General features: G+C 42.4%; 1 protein-coding gene across 10 annotated transcripts in view; it reads left to right on the top strand.

Moving 5' to 3' along the window:
* SORBS2 (sorbin and SH3 domain containing 2) overlaps window positions 1–16,593 on the top strand; it is a 370,850-nt gene that overhangs the window by 53,877 nt on the left and 300,380 nt on the right. The window contains exon 2 of one of the 10 annotated variants that reach the window (NM_001270771.3): window positions 8,123–8,199. The exons of the other annotated variants lie outside the window; for them this stretch is intronic. The gene's annotated coding sequence lies outside the window, so the exon portion shown is untranslated. The remainder of the gene's footprint in view (window positions 1–8,122; window positions 8,200–16,593) is intronic. 10 annotated transcript variants of the gene reach the window in all.

Below are 16,593 nucleotides of genomic sequence, written 5' to 3'. Positions count from 1 at the left end.
CTCACCTTAAGATGTTGAGGAACTTGGTTCAGTTACTTCACAGGCCATTTACTCTCCAACTGCACAGCTGGAATTGCTTCCTTTTCAATTTCAGCCTTCTGAAAGATGGTCTTTCCATATTGTCCTTAATAACTATTTTAGACCCTACAGCCTCTAATATTTTAATTAATTCTTACTCATCCTAATATACTAGAAAATATATAAATAAAAAATTTAAAATTGTCATTGTGTCTTCAAGTATTAAAAGTAGGACTCAGAAACTGAACTTTAAAAAAGTAATATTTCAAAGTGATATTTTCTTCAGCAGTGATATCACAAGAAACATTTTTAACCCAGATTTTGAAGAATGGATAGAAGTATACTAATATGCTTTTAAAATACTATTTCCTGCTGTAATTCACAAAGAAGAGAACAAACTAATCAAGTAATAGTTCTGATTTATCAATAATCTACTTAATAGCCTTTTTTATAGTAGATCTTTCTTATGATTTCTATACTTTATTTTTACTAAGGGGCTGCTATTTCATATTTTATAAAACAGAAGACTCAACAGAAATTAAGTTAAATTAAATTAACAGAAAGCCTGCTTTTTAACCACAAAACTCAGGTTTCAAATGATTTGGTTACATGAATTTTCTGACCAACTTAACTTTAGCTTTAATAGCTTGTTAGTTTCAGTACTTGTCTTCATAAGACTTGTCCAGTAAATTCACATATATTTTGCTCTGCTAAGGAGCTTGTAATTCATTGTTCGAAACCCTGATAATTATTTCAACATTTGCCTTAATGAGAATAATTTAGCAAATATAAATTTATCTTTGTATGCTAATCAAAGATATTATAATTCATTGTAAGAAATTCCAATTGTTAAAAGCTCTATAGACATGAGTATTTGGGTGATTAGTATAAATATAGAATAACCCCCAAACAGCCCCTTGATATTTTTAAAATATTTCTGCCATAAGTTTATTTTATTATAAATTTTCCTCTTCGGCCAGGCGTGGTAGCTCACACCTGTAATCTCAGCACCTTAGGAGGCCGAGGCGGGCGCATCACCTGAGGTTGGGAGTTTGAGATTAGCCTGACCACCATGGAGAAACCCCGTTTCTACTAAAAATACAAAAAATTAGCCGACCGTGGTGGCACATGCCTGTAATCCCAGCCACTCATGAGGCTGAGGCAGGAGATCGCTTGAACCCAGGAGGTAGAGGTTTCGGTGAGCCGAGATTGTGCCATTGCACTCCAGCCTGGGCAACAAGAGTGAAACTCCATCTCAATTAAAAAAAAAAAATTCTTCTTCAACATTTTGGGTAAGGCAAGGAGAAAAATCAAATTTGGAAACATAGTCTACACAGTATATGTATTCCGAAAAGATAGATATAAATTGAATTTTGTAAATGGCATCATAATTTAAAACTGACTAACAAAATACTGGTGCTAATTCTTTAGGAAAAGAAATAAATGCAACCTAGTTTATCTACCTTGTTTCATGCAATTGAGATTGCAAATGTTAGATATGTGCAAAATGAGGTCAGTCTTTACACAGAAAGAGATAGCTGTCCATAAACAATGTTTTAGACAACTTGATAATTGCACTGCCTTTTGGACTATCCTTGGGCTGTAGATTAAAAGCAGTCTGTAGTTTTAGTGACTGAATCAGATTCTTGGTCTGAAATATAATTCTCTCTGTCTCTCTCTCTCTCTGTTTCCCTGTCTCCCTCTCCCTCCCTCTCTCTCTCCCACTCATACGTACAAATACACAAAGTATTTCAGTAAATTGTAGGCAGTTTCTTCCAACTCATCTAATCACACATTTTGCAAATAGAAAAATATTGGGTATGTAATTCACATTTGTCTTGGTATCACTGCCTTTGCTATATTTTTTGAATTTTTTTTCTCTCTCTATATAACCTGTTTTCATCTGTTCTTGGTTTTGTCCTAAATTATTTCACAATTAATGAGAAATGGGATTCTATCACTTTGCAAATAACCATCTCTATAACCTAGTAGTCTTCATTATTTTATGCATGGAATGTTTTTAGGTATGACTTACAGAGCTGGCTTCTTTGATCTTCATATAAATCCAAGTTGAGTTCTCTTTGATAAGAGAACTGGGACTTGTACTTGACTGGAGAAAGTCCCGTTGTTAACCTAAAGGCTGTGTGGTTCACTGCTGGGTGTCAGTATGGAACGGGTAGCTCTATTATTTCTCACAAGTTAGGATCTAGCCAATTTAATATTTTACTCTCAAGTATAGTAACTTATTTGTCCTATGTACTTCACTGCCTTTTTACTTATGAACGATTGTCTGCCTCTAAATTTCTTTTAGCTATCTTCTCCTTTCTTCCCCTTCTTCTTTTTATTTTTAGAGATGGGTTCTTACTATATTGCCTGAGCTGGAGTGCAGTGGCTATTCACAGGTGTGATCATAGCACACGACAATCTGAAACTCCTGGGCTCAGAGATCTTCCTTCCTCAGCCTCCTTAGTAGTTGAGACTACAGATGTGTGCCACCATGTGCAGCTGTCTCCTCCTTTCTAGTGCCGTTGCCTCTATCTTAGATCAACCCTTACCTGTTTTCCTCCAGGCTGTGGCCACAGCCTAACTCATTTTCATATTTCCAACTTTACCCCCTTCTAATAAGTCTTCCATGGCGTCCAGTATGGTAACCATTTGCTGAGTGCTTATGACTGTAAAGAACGTGCGAAGCCTGAAGGTATAATACTCGTTGGGCTCTACTGTAACACTTGGCTCCCCCAAACACAAGTCTACTTATTCAGATACAATTTGTTAAGGAGAGCTCTTTATTTTTCCAACTCTGGATATCAAGCCCTTGACTCAACTAGACAATCTTGGCTCTGGGAGTGCCTGGGCATGTTGCGTAGTTGGTTGTTAGGTGGGTTTAAACTCAGTGCTGAGTATGCCTGTCAGGGTCCCAGCCTCTGGGGAGGCTGAGGGGGGAGGATCGCTTAAACCCAGGAGGCTGCAGGGATCCATGATCACGCCACCGCATTCCACCCTGGGTGAAAGAGTGAGACCCTGTCTCTTAAAAAAAATAAAAATAAACTCGCTACTTCACAAAATGAAAAAGATTTTCGAGAACGACAGAATCTACACTCTAAAATAAAAAATATGTCCAAATCCCTGTGCACACTTAAACACAGAGAACGGGTCCTGATGACAGTCACCAATTCTTCGAGACCTTAACCATCTGACTAAGGAGTAGCCTCTGCCTGTCCCAGCTTGGATTATCCGCTGTGTGTCCCAAATGCTGTTATCTAGACCGGACCTGGTGCTTCTTACCTCCAGCCATTGCCTGTGAATGCTGGGAGGGGCTGTACCGGGCAGCACCATCTCTTTCTCCTGTGAGCACTCTGTCAGAGGCTGCCCTGATTCCTGTCTCCTTTGTTCCAGATCAGGCTGCTCTGAAAATTAGTATTGCCTCTGCACACTGTGATCATGGAAGAGATTTTAGGTTCCTTGCTTGAAGTATGAGCTTAAAAAAAAAAATCTCTCATTGAACCAAAGCATGATAGGTTTTGTGTAGTTCCATTAACATCCCCTAGGCAAGAGTGGATCAGGATGTTGCCATTAAACACGTCATCCACAATATCGTGTGGGTTATACTAGCATAATCGCCTTTTAGATTTATGCTCTGTGCACCTTTATTAAATCTCACCATGCCTTGGCCTCTACAGTGAAGCTCACGGTATCCAAATAACATTCTCTGCTTTTTCTAAAGATTTGGGTATTACCTCCTGCTAAACTGACGCCCTCTCCATACCACTCTGCATTTTATTTCTATTACTTCTTCAATTTTTTTCCCAGAGGTAAAGACAAGCAATAAGGCTGAGATGCAAATCAACGTAGCCGCTAGTTAGTTTCATTTGCGTTTTGGTAGTCATTATTTTGTTCTTATTTTGCCACCCGTTACTGACTAACCCCAAGCAACACTGCCTCCAAAAACACGAGCAATGATTCTTGATGTTTTTATTTTCCTCACCCAGTCTTTCATCGTCCAGTGAATAGAGTGTGATTGATTTAACTTCTAAATATATGTTTGGGAAATTTTCCCTTTCTTTTCTTCCTTACAGACATGGTGCTAGTTTGAGCCTTTCTTATTTTTGACATCAACTGTCAAACTTTCTTTCTAGTTTCCCTGCTTATGTCCCCTACCGTTCATTTCCCCTCCACTTAATTGCTAGAATGATCCATTTAGAATATGTCTTAAAATTGTCAATGGCTTAATATGTGAATGAGTTTCTTTGGCTATCACACAATCTTGCCCTTTCAGCTTGTTTTGCCTTCAGGCAGTAATGGGATGTCAATCAGAAAACAGTCATTAAAGGCACAAGTTTATTTAGACGTCAAAAAGTGGTTGGATTATAGTCACTTTGCTTAGATGGAATGTTAGCCCCTGCTGTGGAGCTATCCAACTCCTGAGCTTTTTTGTTTGTTTGAGACGGGGTCTTGCTCTGTTGCCCAGGCTAGAGTGCAGTGGCATGATCTTGGCTCACTGCAACCTTTGCTTCCTGGGTTCAAATGATTCTTGTGTCTCAGCCTCCCTAGTAGCTGGGATTACAGGCACCTGCCACCACATCCTGCTAAATTTTTTTTTTTGAGTGGAGACAGGGTTTCACCATGTTGGCCAGGCTGGTCTTGAACTCCTGACCTCAGGTAATCTGCCTGCCTCGGCCTCCCAAAGTGCTGGGATTACAGGCGTGAGCCACTGCACCCAGCCTAACTCCTTAGCTTTTTGAACGCCCTCTCGTGCTGGTTTGAACCTTAGCCATCTGTGTTCCGTGACTTTCTATACCTGTTGTAGGCTGTGGAGCATACCTGTTTCAGACTGCAGTAGTTATGGTTGTGTCAGGGCCTAGGAGAAATTTTCCCTTCACCCTCTGAAGGTTCGCTGAAAAATCAACTCACAAAAGGCAGATTCATTTGAGAAAAGATGTACAAATTTTCTTAATGTGTACATAGGAGCCTTCAGATTGAAGACCCAAAGATACAGGGGAAACTGTCCATTTTTATGCTTAGGTTTAACAAAGTATGGGCAGCTGTGTAGGCATAGGATTGGACGAAAGGGTGTGGTCTAATGCGAATAGACTGAGTGGGGACACCCAGCAAGGCCTGTCTGTCCAGATTCTTGCTGGCCTCTCTGGTCAGCTTTCCTTCCTTCTGGTGTGGGGTGGGGCCCTCTCTGGAATCGGATCTCATACCTACACTCAAACAAGGTGGGTCAGAGAGTGTCTTTATCGCCAGTTCTTACCCAGAAAGGCGGAGCGAAAGTTAGAGTAATACTTTTAGGTTTTAAGGCTGGCTCTGGGGCAAAGGGGTTGTGGTTACTGTGACGGTCCTGGAGGAAGAGGGATTCTGGTTTCTATATCTGGCCTCAGGGGAGAATTGGGCTGAGGAACCGGAAGGCAGAAGTGAGCAGAGAGAAGCTCTTGCTTCTGAGGCTGTCATCTGGGGTACTGTTTCCTGAGCCTCCGCAATTGCTGCAGATGCTGCAGCTTTTCCAGTAGCTCAGTAATACAACCAATCACTGACGTGCTTTGTAATACAACCAATCACTGACATGTGCTTTTTTTTTTTTTTTTGGCCATGTGTAAGCAGCATTTGTAATTTAGGGCAGGTATCACTGGCATCACTGGGAAACTTGAGGGCAACGCACCACCCAGTGGCTTGGCTTTTCCCAGTGGAGCCTCCTCCACCAAGAACTCTCTGCAGAGGACATGGCTCTTTGTTAGGGGCACACACCAGGGGCCACAGAGCACCCCCTGCCAATCATCCTGTTACACTACACAGTAGTTCTGTGTTTAGAAAAGAGCAGTGAATTGAAATAAGAAGTAAGGAATTTCCATATGTCAAAACCCAGTTACTAGCTGTTTGTTTATTTATTTATTTTGAGACAGAGCTTTGCTCTTGTCACCCAGGTTGGAGTGCAGTGGCGCGATCTTGGCTCACTGCAACCTCTGCCTCCCGGATTCAGGGGATTCTCCTGCCTCAGCCTCCCGTGTAGCTGGGATTACAGGCGTGCACCAACAAACCCAGCTAATTTTTGCATTTTTAGTAGAGACGGGGTTTCACCATGTTGGTCAGGCTGGTCTTGAACTCCTGATCTCAGGTGATCCACCTGCCTCGGCCTCCCAAAGTGCTGGCATTACAGGCGTCAGCCATCTCGCCTGGCCAACATGTCTAAATCCTTTCTCTGAGGATTTGTATCTAATTCAGAACCCGTCAATGCCAAAAATTACCCCTTTTCTTTAAGTGCATTTCTTTATGCATGAATCCATTTCAGTCTGTCTTTCCTACCTATTTCCCATGACAAATTCCAAAATGAAATTGCTGTGGAATCCACTGGAGTATTTGTTATATACAAGTTGGTTAAGTGAGATTCTTTGGCCTAATCCGGAGCTTTTTTTGGCCTATGAGCATTTGATCCTTGTTCAGAGCTGGATAATTGTGGTCAATGGGATTTCTACTCAATGAGATTTCAAACTCCATCACTCTCATACACTCCCTTTTCCTGGTCCTTACTGATCATTCTCTCTGGCTAATTTTAATCCAAATGAAATTCTGTGCTGAGAATTTGGGACCAAACTTTTCCGATAATAATATTTTCAAAAGAAAACAATGAAGGGATTGGCCAGAATTATTTGAAAATTAAATTCTTTCAGGAAAACTATAATTTGCCCACATTTTACTTCTCTGAAAAAGAAATTGTTAATGTTACAGTGTGACAAAGTCACTGTTCTTCAAGTTTCTTATTGTTGAGGCAAAGTTCTCAGAGAAGAACCCTAGTCCTTCATTCTCAGCTGACCTGTCCGGGCCAATCAGCAGAAAGTACTGTCTAGGACCACAGACACTGAGACCTGACTCTGAGCAAGAAGGCAGCCGGGCACTGGGCCCGGTGCACCCGGGATCCTGGCGGGGGTGATGCCACTGCCATGCAGCACCAGGTGTCGCCCGGGCGCCATGACCGCTGCATCTGCTGCAGCAGAACGGATGCTCACGCCGCTGCCACTTTCCTCCACTGCCCTCACCTCCTTGGCTTATTCATTCCCACTGGAGATCTGAACCTAAGTCGAGCTTCGGTTATGAGGACAAGGGAAGACTTACCTGGTCTTCTTGGATTCTGTGTTGGGATGGATCAATAGAGTAGAAGTTTGGATGGTAGGGAATTACGCAAACATACAGACAAGGAGTTCAGGAGGTGCTGTGACACCAAAACAAGTCCTCTGTACCTTGGCCCTGACTTAGTTCACTGCTGTTGCTTCAGTGGCATCAGGGCTTGCCCTGTCACTCATAAGAGAGGTAGGCTGAGAATGAGAATTTTGGCCCCCGGTGGGCCTATCGTCCTAATTCATTCTTCTTTCTTGTCTGTGTCATGGATTCTTAGAAGCACACAACTAGTAAATCACATGTTTTCAAGTCTAAAATTAAAGTAAGTGTGCAAAGCCATGTGATCAGATGAAGGGGTCATTAAAACACTGATGCCTGGCCATACATGGCAGCATGGACATGGGCCCAGCCGGGGTGTCAGGAGGCATCCCCGGCTCAGTCACTGGCTCCCCGTGTGATCATGCCCCTCCTGTCTGTGCTTCAGGAAAGTGCTAGGCTCCGAGGAGCTGGTCTCCAGGCCTCCTTCATTCTCTGAGAGTCTGTGATTTTCAAGTCACAGTGATGTTTGCTGAGGGAGTGGGTTGCATCATCTGGGATGATGGTGTGTTTTGTTCTTTTGTGGGGACTGAGGTGGCAGCTCTCTTTGGCATAAGCTGAGCTGTGTCAGCGCAATGGAGCTGATTGGCTGAACCTCAAAAGCAGACCCCAGAGAGATATTGATTCTGACAGTGCAGCAATTACAGGGAGGCACTGGTGCCTTGCGAGGTAAGACATCTGGGTGCTTGTGACACGGCTGGTCAAGTCTTCAGTGTAACATGTGATGTAATTGGTATGGACAGAGGGGCTCTGGGTTCAGACCATTCTTAAAAGGAACTGGAGATTATGTCTGTAAAACTGAAAACCTACACAGAAATTTTCAAATCGATTTTTATTTTTGATGATTACTACTAATAAAAATGACTATCTCTGTTTATTTTTTTTTTTACTTCTGAAGCCAACCAATTTGTTGGAAAATCAGTCAAAATCTAATTTTGATGTTCTGCAAGTTCCCTGGGGGCCATGAAGCACCTGGTGAGTCTCACGCCCACTTTTCCCCAACACCTGCCAACATTTTCTTCTGTGTTTGATCCTTTTGCTCTTGTCTTTTTCATATTTTTCCTTCAATATGTTCCCATAATGTCTTTGCTCTTTTAAAACATGCATATTTCTGTGGTTCTATTGAAAGAAACCGGAATATTTTACCCTAAAATATGCTTCTTTGGCATATTTCGAGATCGGTATTCAGAGGGGCTGGAGAACACAGGAATAGCTCTGAAAAGCTGTCCTTTGTGAGGCAGATTTGCATCTGTAGGGAAAATCTGCATTCGGGAGGTAGACAGACCATGCAGACAGGCTCCGAGGCACCCTTGTCTTCCTCATCCGGATCTAGGAAAGGTTAACTCATGGGAAAAAAAGGCTAAAGTCTGACGCTGCTGAAGGTCTGATAGAGACTTTTACCCCATTCCCATCTGCTCTTCCTGAGGGCAGCTCCAGGGTTATAGGAGAGTTTTATCCACATAACAAGACACCGTTTGCTCACCAGGCTTACCTGCCTTCACTCTCCCATAACCTTGTTGCCTCCTCCCCCGGGGAACCCCTAGCCCCTGTTCCTTCCATCGCCTGGAATGGAAGATAGTCTAAAAACTTCAGTCAGCTGACCCTTTTTTGAGTCTCATGTTTGTGGGACTCCCATGTCCATGGGCATGTTAATAAATTCACATGCCCTTCTGGCTGTTAACCTGTCTATTGTCAGTTTGTTTTATGGACTCAAATTATCAAACCTTCAGAAGCTGGAGGGAAGAAAATTCCCTTCACCTCTACGCTATCTATTCCAGATTTAACATCCATGAGTGAGGTGCTGAAGGGCCCGGGTCTCCCAGTATCTTGGAGAATAATGAAGTTTGACAAGCTCCAGCCCTGCTAGTGGGTGGGCTCCAGCCCAGGAAGCAGCTCCCAGAGCCTTTGCTCCAGCGCGGCAGTGGTGCTGTCTGGTGTATTGCAGCCCATGCATCCCGCCTACCCCAGGCTCACACTCGCAGATGTTATGATCCCATGTCAAGCCCTCTCACCACACATCACTCTGGAATACAGGGCAGCAGAAGACAATCCATTTCCTAGTATGATAAGGCCTTTCTGTCTCTTCTTTCTTCCTCCTCATTCCACAGCATAGCAACCCCAGTGCCTTCCCCTACTCTGTGCCTGATTATCTCTTTCTTCCTTCTCCTCCACAGCTAGCATCCTTAGAAAATTCAAGACCAGTAATTTCACTAGCTCTCAATAGTAATCGGAGTGTTCAAATCACAGAAGAATATATTATGTAGTTCCCTATTCTTGTTTTTTTCAAGGCTATAATTTTCTTGTTCACTTGCTCAAGGTTTCTCCCCATTCTCATTTTCTAAATAACATAAAATTGACCATTTTAGCCATTTTTAAGTGTACAGCCATAAGGCCTTAAGTGTATTCACATTCTTGGGCTACCGTCTCTGCCATCCATCTGCAAAATTTTTTCATCTTCCAAAACTAATACTGTGTACCCATTAAACAATAACTGGCCACCTCACCCTAGCCTCTGGCAACCACCATTCTACTTTCTGTCTCTGCGAGTTTGACTTCTCCAGGTACTTCATTATGATTGGAATCATACAGGATTTTTCCTTCTGTGTCTGGCTTACTTCACCATGCACACTGTCCACAAAATTCATCCATGTTGCGACATGTGCCAGGATTTCCTTCCTTCTTAAGGTTAAATAATATTCTGCGATATGTATGCACCACGTTTTGTTTACCCATTCACTTGTCCATGGACCCTTGAGTTGTTTCCACCTTTTGGCTATTGTGAATAAGGTTGCTGTGAACATGGGTGCATAATCAAAGTCCTTATCAGTAGAATCGAATCTATGGGAATGCTGACATTGCTCTGGGGAATAATTAACATGGATTAATGTTTGCAAAAAGGAAATGTTGCAGAGCTCTCTAGTGGATGTTTTAAATTATGTCTCTCCTTTGCCCCTTAAAGATACATGATGCAATTCTAGAACATTAACAACTCCCAAGTTCCTTCATAGCTGGATATTTTCTTTAACCTCTTTATTCTTCTGTACACTCAGGTTAGTTTCTTAAAGCAATTGAAATTCTTGAGTTTACTTTGATGCTCAAAGATTTCTAGTATAAGCAGGAGGAGAAGAAATTAACTTAGCACCCAATCTAACATTTTATATAAAATGGAAAAATACTTTGGGAGACCGAGGCAGGCGGATCACGAGGTCAGGAGATCGAGACCATCCTGGCCAAGATGGTGAAACCCCTTCTCTACTAAAATACAAAAAATTAGCTGGGTGTGGTGGTGTGTGCCTATAACACTAGCTGTTCACGAGGCTGAGGCAGGGGAATCCCTTGAACCCGGGAGGTGGATGTTGCAGTGAGCCAAGATCGCGCCACTGCACTCCCAACCTGGAGACAGAGCAAGACTCTGTCTCAAAAAAACAAAAAAGTTATTGTAACCACCTGATGGGCTCTTCTTGCCCACTACACAGACAAAACCAATTCACTGAGACTATGGCATTGCAATAGTTTAATTGGCACAAGACTGGCCACAGCACGTAGGAGATAGAGTTATTGCTCAAATCAATCTCTGCCAAAATTTGGAGACTAGGGTTTTTCAAGGATAGTTTGACAGGCCAGGGGGTCTCCTTGTGAGTGAGGCCTCATAGCTGGTTGGTGGGTCCGAGTGGAGCCATTGGTGGTCAGAAGTGCAAAAACCTGAAAAGACATTTCAAAAGGCCAGTCTTAGGTTCTAGTACACAATAGTGTTGCTATCTGCAGAAATAATTGAGCACGTTGAAATCTTGTTTCCTCTAGGATAATGGCTGATAATTGTGTACGTCTGTTCCTTAACATAATTCAGGTCCCTCATTCTCCTAACCTGTGTTCTTGTATTAGTTTTGCAAAGGCCGTGTAGGTTTGGGAAAGGCTGTCATGCCCAGGAATGACTAAAGGCGGTTTGGAGGTTAAAGGCAAAGTGGGGATTGTTTAGATACGTTCTCTTTCACTGCAATAATTTTCTCACTGTTACTATTTTTGCAAAGGTGATTTCATTATGATGGCTTCTTGGGTTTAATTTCACAGATGCTAAAGTCCACTTACTTTTTTGTTTACTGACACAAAATAAAAAAGTATTAGAATAAGCAGAATTAAAAAACAAAGAATAAGCAGAATTAAAAAACAAAGAATAAGCAGAATCTGAAACTCATAACATTTTAGATCTGAAAGGAATCTCAGAGGCAGTCTGTCCTGACGCCTTTATTTTATAGCTGAAGAAACCCACACAGCTTAAGTGATTCCCTTTCTTTTATTTCATTCATTCGTTCATTCATTCATTCAATATTTACTATCAGCTCTGTATAATGCAACATGTTCAATACTATAAAACATACAAATGTTTCTTATAGTTTTGTCCTACCCTTAAAAAGCCTGTTTTCTAGCAAGGCAGAAAACCTAGGCATTGGAATTCCACACATATGGAGCCACTCCTACGTTCAGGCCCATGTGCTAGGATGTTGAAGAGGACACCAAGATGAAAGGAGGGTGTCCCCATGCTCCTGAGTGCATACAGCTGTGAAGGAGCAAGAGAAACACACACTGTGCTGTTAGAAGGGGTCTGAGCAGGGCACCAGAAAGCATCTGGCCTCAGCAGGCAGAGGTGAGACCACTGAGTGGAGCGTGATCACGTCATGAAGCCGTCAGGGTGAGACTGTGGGGGAGTCCGGAAGCGGGTGTGAGTGGAGGCGGCCTTAAAGATTCTCTTGTGGGCTCTCTCATTAGGCTGTAGAGATAGAGACACACAGTTCTAATCCTGGCTAAACCTCTGGATTCTCACTGTGACACTCAAACAGTACTGAGCCTGCCACACAGTCTTCTTGTCAGGATAAGAGGAGATAACATCTGTAAGTGCTTCAGAGTCCCCAGAACATACCAGAATTCCATAGATGTTAGCCACGGTGACTTCTGTACTGTAAAGAGCTTTGCAATGACAACTGAAGTAAATTGAATGGAATATACTTGATTCAATAGAAAATGGGTAGCCACAAAAGGATTTTATACAAAAAAGTGATATATTAATAAATACACTTAAAAATTAATCTGGTCCAGGTGCGGTGGCTCACACCTGTAATCCCAGAACTTTGGGAGGCTGAGGTGGGTGGATCACTTGAGGTCAGGAGTTCAAGACCAGCCTGGCCAACATGGCAAAACCCTATCTCTACTAAAAATACAAAAATTAGCTGGGCATGGTGGCACATGCCTGTAATCCCAGCTACTTGGGAGGCTGAGGCAGGAAAATTGCTTGAACTTGGGAGGCAGAGGTTGCAGTGAGTTGAGATCGCACCATTGCACTCCAGCCTGGGGGACAGAGTGAAACTGTGTCTCAAAGAAAAAAAAGAAAAAAAATTATTCTGGCAGAATTGTGGGGGAGTGAGTGGAATGAAGGAAGGCAGGAGGTGGAATGAGTGTCAGGAGGAAACTGCAATAGCTCAGGTGGCAAGTGAGTGATGAGAGCCTCATTATATCCAATGGAGTAACAGTAACAATAAATTATATAGATGTTCAGGGCGTAAAACTGTCAGGCGGAGGAGGAGGACAGAAGCACAGATTGGGTGGAAAGAAGGGGAAAAAGCAAAGATGAACACTTGGTACCCAAGTGAGAGACTGAGAGGAACATGAAAAGATAAATTGGAGATCGGGGAATGATACCGATTTTAAACATTTTGAATCGAAGCAGAGATATCCAATATGCAGGCCACAGCAGAGTTAGGTGCAACAGCATCATGTCCCAGAAGCAGTAACTGGACTTCATAACTATGAAATCACTAATGAATTTGAAAAAAAATAGCAGAGGTGAACACGGAGACCAGGTTAGAAATGATTTAGAATGCGTGAATGGTGAGGCATCGGAAGCAGTCTTAAAAAAAAAAATGACTGTGGAAAAAATCAAGTAGGGTGGGAGAGAAAGGGAGCAATTGCATTTTCTTTCTCTATTTTAACATTGTTGCACCTCATTCTGTTTTTCAGTTTAGAAGAAAGTGCAAACAGAGAGGGATTGATTGAGATGTTTTCCAGAAGGAGAAAATGGCTAGAGGCTCCAGAGGAGGCGCCAATGATGAACATTAAAACCTAGTTGGAAAGTTTAACCTTGGAATGGAAGAAAAAACCCTCTTCCTCTAAGATAAAAGTAAAACAGAAAAGGGATGATAGAAAGCAAAGGTGTTAGGTGAAAAAGAGGGAAGCTTAGGAAGCTCACTCAGCCCCGATCGCCTCACAAGGCATAATGACAGCAGTCGCCTGCTGGAGTGTGTGCTGGGAAAGAGATACAGCTATGCACTGGCAATTTGGAAGGCGACAGGTGGGCCGAACACCTACTCTGCCCTGAATACAATGCTAAATATTTTCAGTTTATCTCATGCAGTTTGCAAACAATCATGAGAGGGTTTTCAGATGAGACAATGAGGACTCCGGGGCTTTCCCTGTGTTGAGTGTTCAGAGGAGGAGTTGAGTGACTCCCAGTCATGCGGGTTGGGGTGGACACAGCAGGCTGCTGGGGCCACACCATGTGAAGCTAAGCCTGGAAGCACTGGCAGGATTTTAGAACCTAGAGATGGGGAAGGAAATTCCCAAACATTGTGTGAGCAATTTAGAGTTGGGAGAAGGTAGGAAAACAAACTCTAGAAGAAAGAACACTATTTGTTTCATATGGTTGCTGTAACAAGTTACCATGAACTGGATGAAAAAGTAAAAGAAATTATTCTCACACATTTCTGGAGTCCAGAAATTCAAAACCAAGATGGAGGTGGGGTTACACTCCCTCTGGAGGCCCTAGGGGAAATTTAATCTTTGCTTCTTCCAAATTTTGGTGGCTACCAGCATGCCTTGGCTTGTGGCCCCATCACTCAAGTCTCTGCCTCCATCTCCACATTGCCTTCTCCTCTGTGTGTCTCTCTCCAACCCCCCACCACCCCTCGTTTCTAGGGACACATGTGATTGCATTTAGAGCCCATCCAGATAATCCAGGATAATCACATTCTCCAAAGACCATGTTTTCAAATAAGGTAACATTCACAGATTCTGGGGATTTGTATATAGATGTATCTTTGGGAGCCATTACTAGCACGAGCATTTTACAGAGTATGATAAATGCAATGAAAACTCAGAATAAATAAATTGGGACAGGCAATATATTGAATGCCAGAAAGCAAAATAATAATAATAATAATAATATAGAATGTCAGGTTTCATACAGTTTATGCTTCCAATAATTATAATGAAAAGATATGAGTTCAATGTACACACACACACACACACACACACACACACACATATATATATACTATGTGAGAATCCATGATAATTTAGTAAAAAGTCAAACAAAAAAGCAACCTTTTCTATCCAACAACAACTTAAGGGGGAAAGTTTTGAGGAACAAAATTACAGATAATAAATTGGATAATTTGTTATTAAGAAGATCAGCAACCCCATCTTCTTAATAACTCTCCAGAAGATATGAAATGATTCTAATAATAATAATTACAAATAATTGAAGAATAGTTTCCTATAGTAGGAGGGTGCTACCACCCCTCAGCTTCCAAAGTCTTGCTAGGTTATAGTTTGCTGCTTGAAACTATTGAATAACTTGTTTAACTTAGGTTACAGTAGCTCATTTTGCTGAAATATCATAAATAGCATACTTCAAATCACTTGCAAAAAAATATTTTTAACATACCACAAAATCTGCAGTCTATAAATCTGCAGGCTGCATGGTATATGCATTTCCAGTGTCAAACCATTGAATAATAAATGCCACGGTCTGCGATGCCCGCAAGTTTTGATTTTTCCTTTTCCTGAAGCCACAGCGTGGTTCTTAACGAAGCAGTAGTTTTTCAACCCTTCAAACAACCAAATCTTTATAACAGTTTCGGAACTGTATAAAAGAGGGAAGTGTGTTTCTTCAAACACTGTAATTTCGCTTGCTCAAAGACTTCCTCCATACACAGAGCACCTTCTCTTCTACCCGGCCCATGTAGGGTTCTACTAACAGAAAGAAATGTGATATTATTTCCATCATCAATTGAACTGTGAGCGCCTATGTAGGTGGGTGCCAGATTCTCACTCAACAGCCAAGTTTATTATATGGGCTCGTGGACCCTCTTTTACTTCTACCTACTAAATGCCTTTTCCGGCTTCCCCGCAGACAGCTGCCCAGGCTGTTTGTGCAACTCAAGTGTGCTGCAAAGCCAGCCTCACCTCTCAAGGCAGCCTATTCTGTCTTCAAACTGGCTGGAAGGTCCTTCCTCTTTGGCCATTCTATCGCTGCCCGCTGGAAGGTCCTTCCCTTTACTGAGCTGAAATCTGTTTCTCTGTAGTTTCTGACCATTTGGTCTAAGTTATACCCTTTGGGGCAAACCAAACAAATCGCTTCAAAGCCCAGCTTTTCAAATATTTGAAAAGGGTGATATTGTCCTTTCTTGCACTGAGTCTGTTCCAGGCTAAATGATCAGACCTCTTCTGTCATCCTTTACGTCTCCCAAGTCCCGGTTCTCTCATGGTGCTGCTATTCTTTTCTTGGTACAGATCTTCTAATTTCCTTTTAGCATGTACTTTCCCACACGGAATCCCATGTTCCAGATTGACCTGAGCCGTGGATAGCAGAGCAGAACCAGACCAGGCCACAGGCCACGTTGTTTTCTTTTCTTTTTTTTTTCTTTTCTTTTTTTTTTTTTTTTTTTGAGACAGAGTCTTGCTCTGTTGCCCAGGCTGGAGTGCAGTGGTATGATCTTGGCTCACTGCAACCTCCGCCTCCCAGGTTCAAGCAATTTTCCTGCCTCAGCCTCCTGAGTAACTGGGACTAAAGGCAACCGCCACCATGCCCGGCTAATTTTTTGTATTTTTAGTAGAGATGGGGTTTCACTGTGTTAGCCAGGCTGGCCTCAATCTCCTGACCTTGTAATCTGCCCACCTCGGCCTCCTGAAGTGCTGGGATTACAGGCGTGAGCCACCGCACTGGGTGGATTGTATACTTTTCTTATTGCAGCCTAGAACACCTTAGCCTTTCTGCCGCCCACCTCACATTTCCTTTCATAAGAGTTTCTAGCAAGGAATTTAAACCTCTCTGGACAGTCCGGGAACAAGTCACTATGCCTAAATGCTTTCTCAGTCAGTCCATCGTTTTCCCCAATCGCCCAGGGGCTTGCTATGTTCACCTGTAACACATCGTATTTGCTTGTGAATACTTGTATTTACCAGCTTGTCATGTGGTTTACTAAGGGGCGCAGTAACTTACAAGAGACATGTCTAATGCTGTGGATTTTCTCGGAACTTTTAAATAGGGTGACAACCTGAGAAAGTTGCCTGTTGGCACCTACGCATCAAAACAGAAAG

Source organism: Homo sapiens, chromosome 4 (assembly GCF_000001405.40).
Source record: "Homo sapiens chromosome 4, GRCh38.p14 Primary Assembly".
In the NCBI taxonomy this organism is placed as follows: domain Eukaryota; kingdom Metazoa; phylum Chordata; class Mammalia; order Primates; family Hominidae; genus Homo; species Homo sapiens.
This window is presented reverse-complemented; position numbering and strand designations above follow the sequence as displayed.